Genomic DNA, 20,901 nt, shown 5'->3' with positions numbered 1-20,901 from the left:
TGCATGCCTGTAATCCCAGCTACTTGGGAGGCTGAGACAGGGGGATCACTTGAACTTGGGAGGTGGAGGTTGCAGTGAGCTGAGATCATGCCACTGCACCCCAGCTTGGGTGACAGAGAAAAACCCCATCTCAAAAAAAAAAAAAAAAAATAATATGTCTGTCTGAAATAACCTTAGTGGATTATGGATTCCAATGCTCTCTGTTAGTAAAAATTATTAGGAAAGAGGAATGTTCAAAGAAAAGGAAGCAAAACATTGAATGTAGATTCAGCATTAATTGCTGGGAGTAAGACTTAAATCTAAGTGAGAAGTCTTTGTTGGCAAGTCTTTAGAGATCAAGCTGATGGTGAAAAAACTCATCACTACATACCTGCAGGATGAATGGAGAAGATTATCACGCTAATCCTATGTGAATAGTCATTTGTCATTTCGGGTGACAATATTAGGCACCAATTAATAAAGTGACTAAAGTCAAACAAGTTAGAAGGACATGAAGATAATTCACCCAAGAAAACACCATGAGATATTTGAAAGAAGCTTTCTAGAGAAGACAGGGATATTGCAGATATTATGAACAGATTATCTATAATTGTCTTATAAAATGTGCCTGTGATTAACAGTGTTACTATATCTTACTTAGTATAGGCTATATAAATATAATTTAAATTTAGATATGCAACTAATTAATTAACTATTATAAACAAAATTAACTCCTTAAAGCTATTAGAATTTAATCTGTGTAAGTTACTTGTTCTTGGTTATTTATTTATTGTTTTCAGGGACATGGTCTTGCTGTGCTGCCCAGGCAGGAGTGCAGTGGTGCAATGACAGCTCACTGCAGCCTCCATCTGCTGGGCTCAACCTATCATCCTGCCTTAGCCTCCTGAGTAGCTAAGACTAGAAAATCATGCCACCAGGCCTGCCTAACTTTTTATTTTTTTAGAGACAGTCTTGCTCTGTTGCCCAGGCTGGTTCCAAATACCTGACCTCAAGTGATCCTTCAGTCTCAGCTTCCAAGTAGATGGCGTTCTAGCCCTGTGCCACCTGATCTGGCTGCCAGGACTTTTAAAGTAACAACTAGACATTATTTTTCTACTTGTAGGGGAGCAACATTTAACCAGGTAGAGTATCTAAAATACAGGAAAATTCTAGGAAAGCCATATGTATTGATGAATGATATGTGAATCTGCATTTGACTTATAATTTGTATTGTTTTTAAAGTCCTATTTCTCTCAAATGAAGGTATAAAAACATACCTGCAGCATATCTATCTATCTATCTATCTATCTATCTATCTATCTATCTATCTATCTACCTACCTACCTACCTACCTACCTGAGGTAAGTTCTTGCTCTGTTGCTTAGGCTGGAGTACAGTGACTTGACCATGGTTCACTGCAGCCTCAACCTCCTGGGCTCAAGGGATCCTCCCACCTCAGCATCTTGAGTAGCTGGGACCACAAGCATGTACCACCACCATGGCTGGCTAAATTTTTACTTTTTTTGGAGATGAGCTCTGCCATGTTGCCCAAGCTGGTTTCAAACTCCTGGGTTCAAGCAATCAGCCCACCTCAGCCTCCCAAAGTGGAGCCACTATACCAAGCTGCATTACACATTTTTTAGTATTGAGCAAAAGTATAATCTTTTTTAAAAAGAAATGGAAATGATATAAAGAAGCAATTTTAAATGCTACTCATTTCTGACTGCTCTTTCCTAAAGATTATAGGAGCATCATGATTTTATGCCTTATTTAAATGTCTCATAGTTTTAGGTATCTTTTCCTTAATATTTTAGTAGCTCCATAATTTTAGGACCTTAGGAAAAGTGAAATGGGCCCTACAGTATGATTTAGATGATTGGCAGGTATCCATGCTCCAGTCCAGATGTATGTCTACCCTCAGCTGCTATCTTGTCTTCCATTTTTGGCTGCTTGAACCCTGAGAAAAGATGAGTGATGTCAATACCTGAGTGATGTTTGTTTTGGTTTCAAGCAACAGAAACACGAATTAAAAGTGACTTGAATAGTGACAACAGAAAGCTGAAATGTTGCAGTACATTCATGATGCTATATCTAAGTTTTATAGACTAAGCAGTTTACAAACAATGGGCATTTATTGCTAATTATTCTAAAGGTTGGCAGTCCAAAATCAAAGTGTGGCATATTTTTGTGTCTGGTGAAGTTCTCCTTCCTGGTTGAGAGACAGCACTGAAGTTCTCTGTGTATCCTCACATAGTGGAAGGGGTGAGGGAGCTCACTGGGCTCCCTTTCATTAGGACACTAATCCCATCCATGAGGACTCCACCCTCATGACCTCCTCACCTCCCAAAGGCCCCACCTCTTAACACCATCACTTTGGAGGTGAAGATTTCAAAATAGGAATTTTTGAGTGGGCACAGGCATTCATTCCAATTGCACCAACTACTTTTAATAATAATGATAACCTTAATAAAAATAATAGCATTCTCAGCATACGTAAAGATCATCTTCATACAATAAGCTCATGGATCCATATTCACAGATGTCTAGCAAAACAATAGGTGTGCGATGGCCTTGAGCTTTCAAGGTTTTTCCATTTCCTTGCTTTGTCATTTTCTTTAATTTACCTGGCTTCATTAATATTTCCATCATACTTGCATTATGTCAGGGAAAAGAACAGACCAAAATGTCCCATATTACACATTTTGTGCTAGTATTTCATTGACCTGAAATGCATGGCTCTTATCTTCCTCAACTATTTACTGGGTGGAGAAATAGAATTATTGTAGCAGATATTGTACATTATCTCCTGCAATGCCCGAGCAAATTTACTTCCCTTTGTCTTCTCACACTACAGGGCAACACCACCAAGGTGCTTGATTTCCCAGCTAACTTTGTAGTGAGGTGCAAAGTCATGTCTGTGCCTCATATCTGGTCAATGAACATAAGCAATAACCTCTTGCAGTGAAAATTCCCATTCAGATTTTCCTGTTTCCTGCTCTGAATGCAGTTGGGATGGCTGGTGGTGGAGTGGGTCTTATGTGAACATGAGGAGAAAAACCATATAAAAATGGTAGACCAGATGACGGATGATGCCTGGGTCCCAGCTTAGAATTACTGCACAAAATAGAAGCTTTCTACTTCTTCACTTCCCACAGTTTTTTTAATCATTTAAATTTGCTAATAATTTACGAAAGATTGTTTTTTATCATATATGTCATCAAGATGTATTTTTACTGGATGTCAGAAGTTATTCCATCTGGTGAAAATGACTTGCTTTGCTTTGTAAATAAAAAAGCTCAAATACATATGTATTTTAAAAATGTTCACATATATGTACACACATATATACATACACACACACACACATATTGTATATATAATAGTGTATTATAATGAAGTCCCACAAACATAGTAACTAGCTTCAGCAGTTATCCATAGATGGGCAATCATGAGTCGCACAACTATGGCAGGCCAGGACTCACTAACAGCTGAACATGCAGGGTTCCATTACAACTGTCTCAGCACTGACTGAGTGGTGAAGTTCAATATTAAAAGATGATAGAACCGATGTCCTCATACAAAGGCTGGAATGTAACAAAAGCTCACCAAGAGTTTTGCCCAGGCCTCTCCTGGGCCTTGAAGCATTACAAGATAATGAAGGAATTCTTAACAGGACCCATTTATGATTAAACAAGTTTTACTGGAGGTCTGAAGAAACTCTCCAGACCTCCTTAAACAAGTTTTACTGGGGGTCTAGAGGAATGCCCCAAACCTCCATGATTTAGCTGGAGAAAAGAAAAGGGTAATCACTCCAGCACCTAGACCCATTTAGATTAAGTAAATTTACTGAAGCTCTAGAGGGTCTTCAGGACTCAGCCCTTAGTTAGAGATTAAAAGAATTAATCACTTATGTCTTTAGATGAATGTACACTTAGACATAGACATATAGCTTGGAAGGTATAGCTCTGGAAAACTGTAATTTTTAGTTGGTCTGGCAATATTTTCCCAGTCTTCTCCCAGTACTCAGTTACAGAAATAAACTTTCTTCTTTTCAAGTTCATCTGCATCTTGTTATTGGGCCATGAGAATAAGCAGCCCAACCCTTGTTTCGGTCTGGGTAAACAATCACCACTTTATATGTTATTTATAAAAGACATAGTATATAACCTCATTCAAAATAATGTGTTACTTGTCTAAATGCAAGGACTTCTTTTTAACACAACAATAACAGCATAATCGTGCTTTAAAATTTAACAGTGTTTCCTTAATATTATCAAATATTAATATCATCAATTAAGGCTGGGTTCATATATGCTCAATTGCTTCAAATCCATTTTAATTAATTGTTTGAATCTCAAAATAGGAGTACTCCCTTGTCCATGAGAGTTATGTAAAAGACCTTGAGTGGATGCCTGGAAGTTCATATAGCACCTAGTGTGAGTGGTGCAAGGTCAGAGATAGCCAGGTTCATGCATATTTGTGTCTTTCTACAAGTTCAGAATTTTACTGATGCTATTTCAATAATGAAAGCCATGAGCTACATGAAGTTCCCAAGGGGACAATTCTAGTTCTTCCCATTGACTTGGTAGTCAGAGTCTTGGGCACACAGGCTCAAGCCACTCCACAAGTCAGTCAATATTGCAAACCATACATAATAGTATACTTAACCAATATATAAATGTTATAGATTAAGCATTCCACAACAAACAAAGCAACATTTAACTTCAGCAGAAAAGGGACACAATAAAGGGTTAGTCCAGGGAGAGTAACAAGAACAAAAAGAGACCAGGAGGTTCATTGATCTTGCAAGGATGCATCTTTAACATGGGTAGATGCTTTAGTGGCAGACGGTGGATGCTTATTACAAGTGAGGATGGCTATTTTATGCTACTGAAATCCTGCCACAGAGTCCTCAGGTGATGAATGACAATGGAAGAGTGTGCTTGCTTATGTCCTTATCTTCTTGGGTGCAGTCTTTATTGATCTGATAAGACATCTTGTCCCCGTTGGCAAGGTACCCTATGAAATGTAAGATGGAATCTTTTTCTAGGATGAAATTACCTATCTCAAAGTAGCTCTATAGAGAACCAAACCCTATATATGGTATTACTTTTCTTTGATAAGTTTTGTTTGATTTTGAGATGGGATCTCACTCTGTTGTCTAGGCTGGAGTGCAGTGGTGTGATCATGGCTCACTGCAGCCTCGTATTCTTGGGCTCAAGTGATCTCCTGCCTTGGTTTCCTGAGTAGCTGAAACTGCAGCACACAGCACCATGCTTGGCTAATTTTTTTAAATTTATTCTAGAGACAGGGGTCTTGCTATATTGCCTAGGCTGTCCTTGAATTCCTGGGCTCAAGGGATACTCCAACTTCAGCCTCTCAATTAGCTGGGACTACAGTTGTGCACCACCATATCCAGCTAATTTTTTTGACTTTTTTTTTTTTTTTTTTTTTTTGTAGAGAGAAGGTTATGCTATGTTGCCCAGAGTGGTCTTTAACCCCTGTGCTCAAACAATCCTCCTGCTTCAGCATCCCAAAGTGCTGAGATTACAGCCATGAGCCATGGCACTGGGCAATGATAAATTTTAATTCATAAATAAGGTACTTAACAACAAAAACTAATAATAATTTACTTGGTAGTCAATTACAACAATATGTCAGCATCACTACTCTTGTACTTTGGGGCCACTATTCAGTGACTCATAGGTGACTTGAACACAAGCGCTGCAATTCTGTGATAGTTAATGTAATCACTGAGGTGGCTATCAAGTGAGTAATAGAGGGAATGCATAGACGCCATGGAGTTGCTGGACATGGCAGGATTCCCAACATGGGAAAGACAGAGTGAAAGCTAGAGATTTCTTCACACCTCTAAGAATAGTGCACTATTTAAAACTGATGAACTATTTATTTCCATTTAATATTTTTGGACCCTGGTTGATGTGGTAACTGAAAACCAGAGAAAGAGAAACTGTGGATAAAGGGAGACTTCTCTACAGACAAGTTCCACATGGGGTATTGAGGGATAGTTCCCTCTTTTATATTTTTTTAGGCAGGGTCTCCCTGTCTTGCCCAGGCTGGAGTGCAGAGGCACAACCATGGCTCACTGCAACCCTGATTTGGCCTCCAGTAATCCTCTTGCCTCAGTCTCCTGAGTAGCTGGGACCACAGGTGTGCACCACCACATCTGTCTAAGTTTTAAATTTTTTGTAGAGATGAGGGTCTCACTCTGTGGCTCCGGCCTGTGTGCTGGGCCCAAGTGATCTTCCTTCGTCAGCCTCCCAAGGAAGTGCGGGGATTGCAAGTATGAGCCACTGTACTGGCCTTCCTTCATTTTTCTTTCCATTTGTTTGTTGAAGAAAAGGTGGGGAGGGTCTTATCATTTGTTCTGCATGGTTTCTCACACCTTAATAATGGAATTGTATTCCTGTGGGAAACCAAAATGCTACTTTTACACCCATCTCCATGGTGGCACATGGCCTGCATTGTTGTATAATATGTACAATTATATCCAAGTTTTAGCCCTTCCCTTCCAAAAGACTTTAGACAGGCAGTTTCTTCCCCCTTGGGAGAAGAAATGATATAATTATTGCAGAAATTTGAAAAAAATCTAACATTGGGTGAATATTACAACGAATATCAGATCATGGAAAAAGCCAAGATTTCTGGACTAAGAAATCATTGGGAGTGGTGATGATTTCTAAACATCCAATTAGAGAAGAATGTCTATTTCCATGAAATGTATCACCAACTCAATACGTTGAAAATTCTAAAAAGTAAGATGAATGGTATTCTGAAAATTATTCCTTAAGGGCTGTAAAAATGGCCTTAAGAAAATTGAAACCTCTTTCTTTGTCAAAAGGCAGCTCATTTCAGATGCATTCATGCTAGTTCTGAACTGCTTCCTGGTTCCATCAGCCATATTCTGGAAGCAAGCAGAGGCGGTATTGTGGGTGCACAGAATAGTAAGCAGGATTTGCGGTAATATCAGAAGTAGTAGAGAGCTGCCTTTTCTCAGATATATGAGAAAACAAAATGTAACTACTGTCCTAGGTTCTGGAAAAAAGCATTTTGAATAATATTTGAATCAGAGATGTCATAGGCTTAGAGAATTCTGAGTCAAAAAGGTGCATCCACATACATGAGGATTTTTAGGCACTTTGGGCTTTTTTACACAGTGTCAAATCACAGACGACTCATGGCTTTTTGGAAAACTTTCATCTGCCCTTCAAAGAGAGTATTGATGCTAAAAAACAGCACCACATAACCCCTTCCCTTATCCACCCACCTCCCTCCCCACACACAGATAGGATGCTGCAGAGAAATTAGACTTGCCAGCCTTCTCTCCAGATTTCTACAAGAGAAACAATGCCAACCACAGCACTAATAGATTAGGATGTTGCTGCTAATACTATTAGTGATAGCAATAGTAATAATAATGGCACCACTAATAACAATAATATTGTTGTCATTAATTATAGTAATACCAAGGACAACTGTTAGAAGACATGTTTAAATTCACTGAGTGGTGCTTAAGTGCCAGGGACTCTGGAAAGTGATTTATGCACACTGTGTCCATCATTATAACCATTACTGTGTTTCTTGTCACAATAGCTGCATAGAGTAGATGGTGGTAATATCTTTGTTCTTACTTGAAATATTTAGAAAGTAAACTCAGAAAGTGAAAGCAGTGTTCTGAGAACCACAGAGATTTGAGCTGGAGAGAAATAAAACTCATTGATTTTTATCCCTGTGTTCATTAGCCACTTGGGTGAGTATTCAAAAAGTCAGGTTTGAGCTTTTGCATAGTTTCTCCAGGGTGACCTTGTTCCTAAAAAGCAGAAACTCAAGATTCAAAGATTTATCATTAAATATTCCAAGAATATTAATACTCTTAAAGTAAAAGCCATATGCAAAACATATCATCCAATAGTTTCTGCCTTCAGAAAAAACTCTATAGGCTTAAGACTTCCATTTCCAAATTTGTGCATTCCTATAAAAACACATAGCTGAGCAATATGTATTAGTTTTTTAAATATAATGAAAACAAACATAGTTATTAGTAGTAAAAACATAAACATATCACATTATGTTGGTGCAGAAGTAGTGTAGAATACTTCTAAAAGTGTTAGGAAACCAAGTTAATAAATGGAATATTATGTGCTGAGTGTGGTGGCTCACACCTGTAATCCCAGCACTTTGGGAGGCCGAGGTGGGCAGATCAACTGAGGTCAGGAGGTCGAGAGCAGCCTGACCAATATGGGGAAATACTGGCTGTACTAAAAATACAAAATTAGCTGGGCATGGTGGTGCATGCCTGTAAAGACTGCTACACAGGAGGCTGAGGCAAGAGAATCACTTGAATCCAGGAGGTAGAGGTTGCAGTGAGCTGAGATCGCACCATTCCATTCCAACCTAGGCAACAAGATCAAAACTTCGTCTCAAAAAATTAATTAATTAATTAAAATAAAATATAAAAATAAATAAATAAATGGAATATTATATGGAAACCCTGAAATTTACTTTTTTCTTTTTAATGATTATTGAAATTTGCATGTAGTTACAGAATTATATTTCATATTGTTCTCCGATTGTATTATTTTATTGTATTGATGTGCCATACTAAAATCTAAATATGACATGTAGTAATTGACTTTTATAATGCTTGGAATTGTACAGAATTAATGCAACTTCTACTTTTATTTGGTATTTTTTTGAGACAGGGTCTGGCTCTGTTACCCAGGCTGGAGTGCAGTGGTGCCATCTCCACTCACTGCAACCTCTGCTTCCTGGGCTCAAGAGATCCTCTCACCTCAGCATCTCTAGTAGCCTGGGACCACAGATGCCTGCCACCAGGTCCAGCTAATTTTTTTTTTTTTTGGTAGAGACAGAGTCTCACTATGTTGTCCAGGCTGGTCTCAAACATCTAGGTTCAAGTGATTCACTGGCCTTGGGTTCCAAAAAGTATTGGGATTACAGTTGTGAGCCACCACATCTTTCCTACAATTAATGCAACTTGTAACTGATGGTACTTACTGAGCAATAAGAACATTTACTATGAATCATGACAGGAATAAACATGTATCCTATCTATTTTTAAGATTTTCAGAAAATACACTTGTAACATTTTCTCTCAACAAATATTTAATTTTCCTGACTCCTAAACTGTGTCTGCACAATTATTATTATCATTATTTTTGATGAAAAATCTAGCTTCTAGAGGAGTGAGCTCAGTTATGAGTGTGTTTTGTTTCCTATGATAATTTATTCATATGCATGTTTTAATGTTTATTGGTTTATTTTCAGAAAGAAAACTGAATTAATATAAAAGCCTGTTTTCCTATATAACATATATTTTTGACCTTATTTTATTAATTTTCTTTGAAGCCATTTTTATATTTTTGTTTCTAAAATCCTCAGAAAATATTTTATTTTACTCTTTTTGATCAAGCAACATTTTTGAACCTATAATTTTCCTCCAAGTACATTTGCAATGATATATCTGAAATTTGTCTTATCCTATTCTAATATTATATTGTTTTCTTTCTCAAAATAGCAGGCTGCACTTATTTTTTTGCTCCAGTAGGTTTTTCTCTGTAGTTCCTATGTGAGTTTAAAAAAATTCCCTTTTAATTCCTTTTGAGCTCTATCATATTATGGTCAGAAAATATAATCTATACAAATTCTACCCCACAGCCTTTACTATAAGTATTTCATTGGCATTGAAAAATAATGTAAATTTTTAGTTTTATAATGTAGGTATAGTTTATATATGAGGAGGTATATATTATATACAGATATATATGGACATCTATTTTTATTTTCAAATTTGAGTAATTTAAAAATGTTATGTTTATTTTTATACACATACATTTTAAATTCACATCTGATAGTCTTGCTTTGCAATTAGTGAGATGACTGCATTTACATTTCCTTGTTAAGGTCCATTTTGGTCTTGATTCTGCCATGTTTTATTTTGTTTTTGTTCTGTTCAATGGGCTTTGCTTTTTTGTTTGACAAATTGTGTTGTATGGGCTGATGCTCTCCCAAATGCCTCATCTCCCTTTCTATGATAGCACAGCATCTGTCTAGTTAGTTGTCTGACTTGTAATTAGTTAAAGTTAATCACTTTATTTTGAAATAATGGTGGATTCTCATGCAGTTGTAAGAAACATACAGGGAGATTGTACGTACATTTTTCTTCACTTCACTGCAATGGTAACTTCTTACAAAGATAAACTATAATCTCATTGGTAGACTGCATGCTTTTGTCTTCCCAAGATTTAGATGTTGAAGATTTACCTAATAATGTGATGGTATTAGGTATTGGGGTCTTTGGGAGGTCATACATATTAGTTAAGGTGGTGAGGCTGGAATATGGTAAGGCTGGAGCCCTCCTGAATGGGATTTGTGCCCTCACAAGTGTCCTTGGGGGGCTTGCTTTCTCCCTTCTGCTATGATAGGACTGAAAAGGCAACTGTCCATGACCCAGAAGGGGGCCCTCTCCATAACCTAATTAACTGTGCTGGTGCCTTGACCTTGGCCTTCCAGCTTCCAAAACTGTGAGAAATAAATTTATTTTGTGTGTAAGCTACCTGGCTGTTGATTGTATTAGTCTGCTCTCATGATGTTATAAATTACCAGAGACTGGGTAATTTATAAAGGAAAGAGTTTTAATGGACTCACAGTTCCACATGGCTGGGTAGGTGTCACAATCATCGTGAAAGGCAAATGAGGAGCAAAGTCATGTCTTACATGGTGGCAGGCAAGAGGATCTGGTCAGGAGAACTCCCATTTATAAAATCATCAGATCTCATGAGATATATTCACTACCACAAGAACAGTATGGGGAAAACCACCTGCATCATTCAATTATTTCCACCTGGGCTCACCCTTGATACATGGGGATTATTACTATTCAAGCTGAGATTTGGGTGTGGACACAGCCATACCACGTCTGTGATCATTAGTTACAGCAGCCTGAATTGACTAAGACAATTAGGATTAGAATATTGATGCTGATACCATCAAGATATAGAACCTTTCCATGACCGCAAGAACCCACTATGTCCCCATTTGTAGACAGTCTGTCACCCTTCTACACCCATCACTACTTAACTACTGATAATCTTTCAACTGTCATCCATGTCTATAATTTGTCATTTTAATAATTTTATATAAATGAATTCTTACAGTCTGTCACCTTTGGTTACTGACATTTTCCACCTAGAAAATTCTTTTCAACTCATCCAGGTTTTGTGTAGATCAATACTTCATTCTTGGCTAGGCATGTTGGCTCACATCTGTAATCTGGCACTTTGGTAGGCCAAGGAGAGAGGATCACTTGAGTCCAGGAGTTTCAGACCAGGACCAGGATCTCACACAGACAAAAAAAGTTCATTCCTTTAATTAATGAGCAGTATTCAATGGCATAAATGTACCAGTTTATGGATCCCTTTACCCACTGAAGTGCATCTGGAAGTTTGTACTGTTTTGTTATTTTATTTTATAATTTGTTTTTTTTATTTGGACTGAGTCTCTTATGCACCCTCACAAAGAGAGTCTCTTATCATTAATTTATATGATGTTTGTATTATATATTAAACACTTATGATACATGTTATGCATTTATCCTGTGTTCTTTTACTATCATACCTATGAAACAGAATCTATCATTTTCTCCATGTGAGAGACAAGGGCACTATAAGATGTTTAATTCCTACTCTTCTAAAATTTTATTTTTCATTCTCTAGAAATTTTGTTCAACACAATTATAGAAATGATGTTTTCTTCAGGTGTTAGAACATTATATTGTATGCCTGAATATTCAGGTTCTCTTCTTTTCATTTCCGGCCACTTTATTACCCAACTTTTTTGTTGTTGTTGTTAAGATTGCTTTAAAACATTTCCAACATGAAAAACAGGAAAGATAAAAAATGAAGAGGAAAATAATTCAGTCTGTGATTGAATTATTAAGTTCAAATATCAACAAGGGCCTGGATAAATGCAAATACAGAAATAGAAACAGAGAGAGAGAGAGAGAGAGAGTGACTTGAGTTTTGGTGTGGTACTATGATACTTTATTTTGGTTTTCACATAAGAGGCTGAAGTCAATCAGACCACTTACTATAATGTGAAATTTCCTGTTTCTTTTTTTATTGTGATAAAATATATAAACATGAAATAGATAACTTTAACCACTTTTACATATCCAATTCAATGGCAATAAATGCATTCCTGTTTTGTACAGCCATTGCCATCCTCCATCTCCAAAACTTTTAAATCATACCAAGCTCTGTACCCAGAAACAGCAATTCTGCATTAACCTCTTGCCCAGCCCGTGGCAACCACAATTCTACTTTCTCTCTATGTAAGGTCAGATACTCCAAGTACCTCACAGAAGTGGAATTATATAAAATTAGTTCTTTTGTGAAAGGCTCATTTCACTAAGCATGTTTTCAAGGTTCATCCATGTAGTATTATGTGTCACAATTTCTTTCATTTTAAAAGCTGAATAGGACTGTATTTTATGTACTGATATGGTTTGGCTGTTCCCCCAACCCCCATCTCACCTAGAATTATAATAATCTCTACATATCAAGGGTGGGGCCAGGTAGAGATAATAGAATCATGGGGGAAGTTTCTCCCATACTGTTCTCGTCGTAGTGAATAAGTCTCATGAGATCTGATGGTTTATAAACGGGAGTTCCCCTCCACAAGCTCTCTCTTGCCTGCTGCCATGTAAGTCTTGACTTTGCTCCTACTTGCCTTCCACCATGATTTTAAAGCCTCACCAGCTAGATGAAACTGAGTTCATCAAGCCTCTTTCCTTTATAAATTAACCAGTCTTGGTATGTGTTCATTAGCAGCATGAGAACAAAATAATACATATACATACTACATTTGTTTGTCCATTTATCGGCTAATGCCCATGGGTTAATTCCATCTCCTGGCAATTGTGAGTAATGCTGCTGTGGACATTGGTGTCGATATATATTTTGGGACTCCACTTTCAATTTTTGGGTATATACTGTCAGGGTTCAGAAACTGAAAGCCCCAAATATGACACCTTGGCATACTGAGTGTTTTGAGGTGAAAGAAATTGAAAAAAACACAAAAAGCAAGAAGGTTACTCTGTGAATGTCTCCCTCTTTCTCTCCCTGAAAATAAGGCACAAGACTTTTATTTCACAGGGTGCTGTCCCCTTGCTAGAGGCCAAGAGGAATCTGAATATGAAGGTCTTGTTAAAGTTACCCTAACACTAACCTTAACCTTCCTTACCATTAGATCATACTCTCTTGTCCTCCAATTATACTTCATGATTACTCTTTATAAACATACAGTTTATCCTGGGTCTTCAGATCTTATTTCTGAAGGTTCTCATGTCTATAAGCTTATGTTAAGTAAATGTATATGCTTTTCTCTTCTTAATCTGTCATTTGTCACAGGAGTTTCAACCATGAAACTTCTGATGCGTAAAAAGCAGATCTTGCTTTTACTCCCCTTAAATACATGTAAGACGAATTGCAGGGTTCCATGGTTATTCTATTGTTAACTTTTTGAGGATCTTCTTTCAGGAAGAAAAATGTATCTTTTTTTTCTACCCATCACAGGTTTATGGCTGAGGACCTAAAACTGCCTTTGCAAAAATGATAACAGACAATTATGACAGTGAGAGATCTGACCTAACCAAATCCATCTTGCCTCTAAACTCCAAGCTGTCCTTGTTCATTCCCAGGCATAGGCTGAACTCACCGTGGGAGACATTTAGTTTACAGTTTAACTGTGAAACAAAGACAATAAAAGCTCTTTTCCCAAACAAACCTCTTTGCTGCCTGGGGACTAGACTGCCTTTGCAGGAGTAACAAAGTAGCCAAAATAATAGAACTTATAACTTAAGAGTTATGCAGCTGGAGGCTACAAGATTTTTTTTTTTTTTTTTTTTTTTTTTGAGATGGAGTCTGGCTCTGTCCAACAGGCTGGAGTGCAGTGACACTATGTCGGCTCACTGCAAGCTCTGCCTCCTGGGTTCATGCCATTCTCCTTCCTCAGCCTCCCAAGTAGCTGGGTCTACAGGCACCCACCACCACTTCTGGCTAATTTTTTTGTATTTTATTTAGTAGAGACGGGGTTTCACCGTGTTAGCCATGATGGTCTCAATCTCCTGACCTTGTGATCCATGCATCTTGGCCTACATGTTCTCGCTCATAAGTGGGAGTTGAACAATGAGAACACATGGACACAGGGAGGGGAGCATCACACACCAGGGCCCGTTGGGGCGTGTGGGGCTTGGAGGGATAATATTAGGAGAAATACCTAATGTAGGTGAGGGGTTGACAGGTGCAGCAAACCACCATGGCACGTGTTTACCTATGTAACAAACCTGCACGTTCTGCACGTGTAACCCAGAACTTAAAGTATAATTAAATATATATATATATACACACACATATATAGTTCCATAAAGATGCATATTTATTTAAATAAATGTACAGAGTCTCTTTTGGAGAGTTTGGCTAGCCATCTAGGAGGAAAAAAACTGCAACGTAGTAACATCCAGCTGTGCTTGTTACTCTGTAAACATGCGAAGCCTTATATTTTTGAATAAAATAACTATCCAAGTATAAAAAAAGAGATTTTCAAACAAAATGTCAGTAGATTTTGTTCTTTATTCTTAAAATATATAGTGAATAACTTCAATGAGATAATTAGCTTTTATGAATTTGAGAAAATTATTTTATACGACAAACTAGTTTATTTTGTTTTCCTCACATCTCAATTTTTTGTCTACAAATATAGTAAAATTTATGTGCTATGAAATGCACAATGTTAAGTGTACAATTTGATGAGTTTTGATAAATGCTTACTCTCAAATAACCAACATTTTATTTAAAATGTAGAACATTTCCATGACTTCAGAAAGTTACCTTAAGGTTGAAAGAGTTAAAGAAAGAGTTAAAGAAAGAGGATTACAGGAGTGAGCTACCTGGGATTACTCCTGTAATCTCAGCACTTTGGGAGGCCAACGGAGGCAGATCCTGAGGTCAGGAATTTGAAACCATCCAGGCTAATATGGTGAAACCCTATCTCTACTAAAAATACAAAAAAAATTGCTGGGCATGGTGGCGGTTGCCTGTAGTCCCAGCTACTTGGGAGGCTGAGGCAAGAGAATGGTGTGAATCTGGGAAGTGGAGGTTTCAGTGAGCCGAGATTGCACCACTGCACTCCAGCCTGGGTGACAGAGCAAGACTACGTCTCAAAAAAAAAAAAAAAAAAAAAAAAAAAAATTGGCTGAGAGTGGTGATGGGAGGCCATAATCCCAGCTAGTCAGGAGGCTGAGGCAGGAGAATCCCTTGAACCTGGGATGCAGAGGTTTTAGTAAGCCGAGATCATGCCACTGCACTCTAGGCAGGTTTATTTTGAAGAATAAGCCAGATAGGGGCTTCTTGCTGATTTTAGTCAGGATCACTCACTCTTACAAACTAAGAGTATTTATTGGTGAGAGAGCTTATGTGTTTACACACAGAAGTTCCTTTACAATTAAGCTTCCAAAACTTGTTTAAACCTTCAAAACAATTCTTTAACCTTTTAATGTAGGTAAAAATCCACATTCTTATGCCTCCTTATAATCTTTCTACCAAAAGTATATATAAACTGTATTTTCAATAGTCTTAAACACATGTTACAATGTTCATTTTTAGCAGACTTTACTTTTGTTAGTAAGTTTGGGATTTTAATTATGTACTAGGTGTAGAGCCTAGGATGTAGAAGGAAGTGCAGATAAGGTGTGGCTTATTCCACCATTTAACTCCATGTGTCCTAGGTCTTACCTAGCTGCAAAGCAAGGAAGATATACAGCTAAAAGCATTCAGGAGGCCTAGTCACTTTTAAATTATTCAACATTTCTTGCATAAAGTCCCTTTTATAAAATGTTATAAAAAGTTTTATAAAAACTTTTAACAAGATTAGAAGTTAGGTATTTCACTAAATAGTTCAAGATGTAGCTATATTTATTAAACCAATATTAATGTTTCATTTATTAAAAAATTACACAAGCAAAGATTATTCTGTTTGTGCTGAGTTATAGTTTTGCAGCCTCTATACCAAATTTTGAAACCTTATAGTATTTTGCAGTGATAAGTATGAAATTGCTTGATTAATAAATGCAAGCAAAAATGTATGCTGGCAACTCTTAAGACATTTCTAATCTTACTGTACCAGTAAGTTTTAAAAATTAAAGTCACACAAACAGAATGTTCCACAGTTTTTACTTTTTCCCTTAAAAAAATTAAGTACTTATTTTTTAGGCCACTTAATTAGAGTTCTTTTAATAGACATTGCACATATAACACATATATAGTCACACACACACACTAACACACACACACACAAGGAAAAACAGAAGAAGACCCAGTAGTTATAAGATTTTTTTTTCCTTCTAATTTACCAATTAGGTTATTGGACTTATTAAAGAATAGGGCTAGGAAAACAGTCTCTATGATCTAATAAGCAAGTATAAGTGAAAGACAAAGACAGATTTTGAGAGGTACTTATTCACTTCTAATTACAGGGGTTCCATAAGGAAAAAAGAGATTTTTCCCCAAATGGGATTTGTGGCACTTTTCTGTTTTCTCAAGGAGTCCCAGGCCACTATAAGTCATTTTAGAGTCTCTCATACCTGCGTGAAGCATGGCAAGAGTGGAGACAAGTAATTCAGTTCACTTGGGAAAAAACTTTTCCAGGAAAACAAGATTTATGATGAGAAATACATAAAAGCCTGTTGAATATATTCATAGCTTGGATATCCATTTCAATTTAGCTGAGTGCTCTTCATCAGGGGTGAGGATGAATGTTAGAATTATATAAATGTCATGATAAGTTAAGTTAAAGATTGGGTTATGTGTAGGAATTCCCTGTGATAATGAGAGGAATTTTCAGAGAAACATCCCAGATGCTGTTTGATTTGTGACAAATCATAGAGTAAGGAAGTGAACATAAGCAATGTCTTCAACCCTAGCCAATTCCTGGAGAGGGAGAATGGCAGAGGTGGTTTTTGAATGGGTAACAGATGGAGAAGGAGGAGTGGGGTTTGGGCTGAAAGCTTGGGGACAGTAGGGGCCACAGAGGCTGAGGGTTCAGATGTGCCAGAAGTGGACGCAGGGGGATGAGGATAAGAGTTTTGGAGAAAGGAGAGATTCAAGGAGGGTTTTTATTAAGAAGAAGGATTTCACAAGGGGTACAAGATAACAGAAGGAGGGTTGGGATTTAAGGCAAAAGTAGAAGAAAGCCTGAATATAGAGAGTGTCTTGCTGCTTATCATTTCTGGTTATGAAGTTGTCAAGATTCCTGAGAATTTGAAAGTTAAAGGTGCAATTTTCAGGCTATTGGCTGTCATTATCTAAGCTGTATTGGGGCCAGGCTGTGTTGCAATAAAAATCTAAACATGTAAGCCAAGTTTGGTGAGGGGGTGAAGGAGACAGCCCAGTGGAGAGGATATAGGGATATGGGATGGTTTGCCACCTGTGTGAGCTGGTTAGAAGAAACTGAGGGTGTCTGTTTTTGTTCTAGGCATCCCCAGACAAAAGACAGAGACCCAAAACACTCTTTCTAAAGAGAATGGCAAGTAGAGAAAAAGCTGAATGTCCCGAGTATTTCTTCTACCTTAGTTGCACTGGTCCTCTTGGGTCTGGATTTGGTGGGGTCTTGGTCTTGCTGACTTCAAGAATGAAGCTGCAGACCCTTGCAGTGAGTGTTACAGTTCTTATAGATGGTGTGTCCAGAGCTTGTTCCTTCTGATGTTCAGATGTATCCAGAGTTTTTTCCTTCTGTTGGGTTCATAGTCTTGCTTACTTCAGGAGTGAAGCTGCATACCTTTACAGTGAGTGCTGCAGTTCATAATGGTGGCATGTCCGGAGTTGTTTGTTCCTCCTGGTGGGTTTGTGGTCTCACTGACTTCAGGAGTGAAGCTGCAGACCTTCTCACTGTTACAGCCCACAAAGGTGGCGTTGACCCAAAGAGAGAGCAGCAGCAAGATTTATTGCGAAGGGTGAAAGAACAAAGCTTCCACAACATGGAAGGGGAACTGAGCAGGTTGCTGCTGCTGGCTCTGGTGGCCTGCTTTTATTCCCTTATTTGGCCCCACCCACATCCTGCTGATTGGTCCATTTTACAGAGTGCTGATTGGTCCATTTTAAAGGGTGCTGATTGGTCCATTTTTACCAAGTGCTGATTGGTGCATTTACAAACCTTTAGCTGGACACAGAGCGCTGATTCATGCATTTACAATCCTTTAGCTAGACCGAAAATTTCTCCAAGTCCCCTACCCAATTAGCTAGACACAGAACACTGATTGGTGTATTTACAAAACTTTAGCTAGACACAGAGTGTTAATTGGTGCATTTATAATCCTTTAGCCACACATAAAAGTTCTCCAAGTCCCTACCCAAACCAGAAACCCAAGCAGCTTCACCTCTCAATCCCCCCTCTAAACAGGACACCCCAACTGCTATTTGGAATTTGGCTGATGACTGCTTTAGCTCATTCCTGCTGGATAGTTTTGAAGAAGGGGCCCTGCAGTTGTAGTGTCCTCCAGAGGGGAACTCTTTAGGCCAGTGGAAGGGCTAGTGGGTCAGTCCAGGCGTCCTCAGTAGAAGTTGTTAGTTGAACTCATTTGGGGTTCCATTTGTAAGATCATCTGAAGCTTGATGGCCTTGATTCTATAGGAAACAAATTTGACAAGAAGGTTAAACATACAGGGCCCAGAGGCAAGTAACAGCAACATGGGTGCCACAGAACCTAGAAAGGGGAGAAGCCATGTTGCCCAATTCCAGAGGTTGGTATAACAGTTTGAAAGGCTTTGTCTGATTTCAGAAGCCTTTTCCTGTAAATGCCAGATGACATCTCGTACTATCCCTTACTGGTTAGTGTAAAAACAACACTCTTCCCCTAAGAAGGTGCAGAGTCCTCCTTGCTCAGCAATGAGGAGGTCTGGGCCTTGGCGGTTTTGGAGAGTCACTGCTGACAAAGAGTCTATTTGGGATTGTTCAGTAAGGATAGATTTTGTTATTTCTTGCAAACTGTCTGAGAAATCCTTTGAGAGTGTGTGGTAATAGGTTAATGAAGTAGATAGATTGGCTATTCTGGTTTCTGTAGCAGTAGCCATTCCTAACACCAAGTAGGGGTATTAGACATATGGTTCTGCATTGACAGACTTGAGTTTTGAGGGGTACAGAGAAGGTCTGATTTCCTGGAGCAATGTTAATGTTGGGACTTAGAAAGACTAAGTTGCAGATCCCAGTTCAGTTAGTGGGAAGACCGATATAGGTCGACATTCCACATAATATACCTTGGCTCAGTAGATGGAACTGGTTGTGTATGTTAAAAAGGTGTGTGAGTTTGTTGTTTTCATTTTCCCATACTCCTTGATTACTTGCCAAAGTAGCTCTGGTGAGTGGCTGGAAAGGGCGTGGGGAGAAAACTGAGTTCCCTGAGTTCTGTTTTCCCATTGGAGAAAAATCCATTCTGTATCTTCCAGGAACCATTCAAGAGAGTGATTGAAAAGGGGGATGAGAAGGCATTCACTAGTGGTGGGGGCACTTCTGCAGGGGGCCCAGGGGTGAATGGTCATGCAGTGAGTATGTTTGCCCTACAAAACCTGGACTGTTTGTTAAGCAGGGAGGAGGTGCTGATTTTGGGGGACCCTGAGAAGCAGAGAAGCCAACTGAATGGAGCTGTTTGGGTGACTCGGAAGTTACTACGATCAGTTGGGGCTTGAAGTTGTAGGGTGTAATGACACTGATGGGGTAGTAGGTGCCCCAGGGGCAGGCCTGATAACAAGTTGCATTGGATGCATAAATGGGCTTGGAAAGTTAAGATGGTATTCACAGTTACAGGGCCATGTATGGGCTTTTCATTGCTTGTGTAATAGGTGAAGTTGGAAATGTAAGAATGTAAACATTGGATTGCACATCCTGTTAGGACATTCTTGGTCCTATCAGAGATGGGGAAGTCAGCTACTGATTGCATATTTAGAAGTTGGAAATCGTCTTTTCCTTCATAATAAGGGTGGTAGGTTAAGTTAATAAAAACCCAGTTTTTTGCAGGAATGGGAGTGGCAACATAAGCAGAGGTTGATAGAAAGATACAAAACCAACAGTCATTTGCCAGGGAAGGATTGGACTGCTTTAAGAGACAATGGGTGAAGTTGAGAGTCTTGTAGAGGTAATTTGGAGCTAGTGGAAGGGGAAGGGTGATTGTATGAGGTATCCAAGGAAGCAGGAGGGTTAGATAGGCTAACAGTAAATAGGAAGGTAAAGAAGGTGCTCCAGAAGATGAGATCATTTTATCTAGGCTGAGTTAAAGGTAGGTGTAAATTGCTGTCAGAAGGAAGATAGAAAGAAGGTTGATGTGACTATGATTTTCATCCCAGCAGGAGCTACAGTATTTAGTCCTATCACAAAGAGTATAGTTAGTATGCTGCTTAATAATATAATATAATGAAATACTAAAAGGATTCTTTTAAAGGGTTGAGGAGAAGTGTTAAAGATTATGTAGGTTTTCACTTACCTTTTTTAAGGATGGAGGGGTTTTTCTTCAGGATCAGTGGTAGAAGCCTTTTTAGTCTGGGATATTTCCTTCTGAAATAGGAGATGCAAGTTCTGCAATGGTTCTCAGGTGTATCGAGGCTGGTCTGGCTGATCTTGGGACTCCTGATCTGACGGTCCTGCAGGTTCCTCAGGGCATGTCCAAAGTTTAACTCGGGTGTGGTGAATCCAAGGTTCCACTCCTGTCACCTTAACTGCAGTTGGGGTAGAGAAGATTACCGAGTATGGTCCTTCCCACAAAGAGTCCACAGATGGGGAGGTATAGGGGAGAGATTTGACCAACACTAGATCTCCTGGCTGAAACAACTCTGTTCCCTTT

This window comes from Homo sapiens, chromosome Y (genome assembly GCF_000001405.40).
Source record: "Homo sapiens chromosome Y, GRCh38.p14 Primary Assembly".
NCBI classification, from domain to species: domain Eukaryota; kingdom Metazoa; phylum Chordata; class Mammalia; order Primates; family Hominidae; genus Homo; species Homo sapiens.
The sequence above is the reverse complement of the archived record's forward strand: the minus strand, read 5'-3'. Positions refer to the sequence as shown.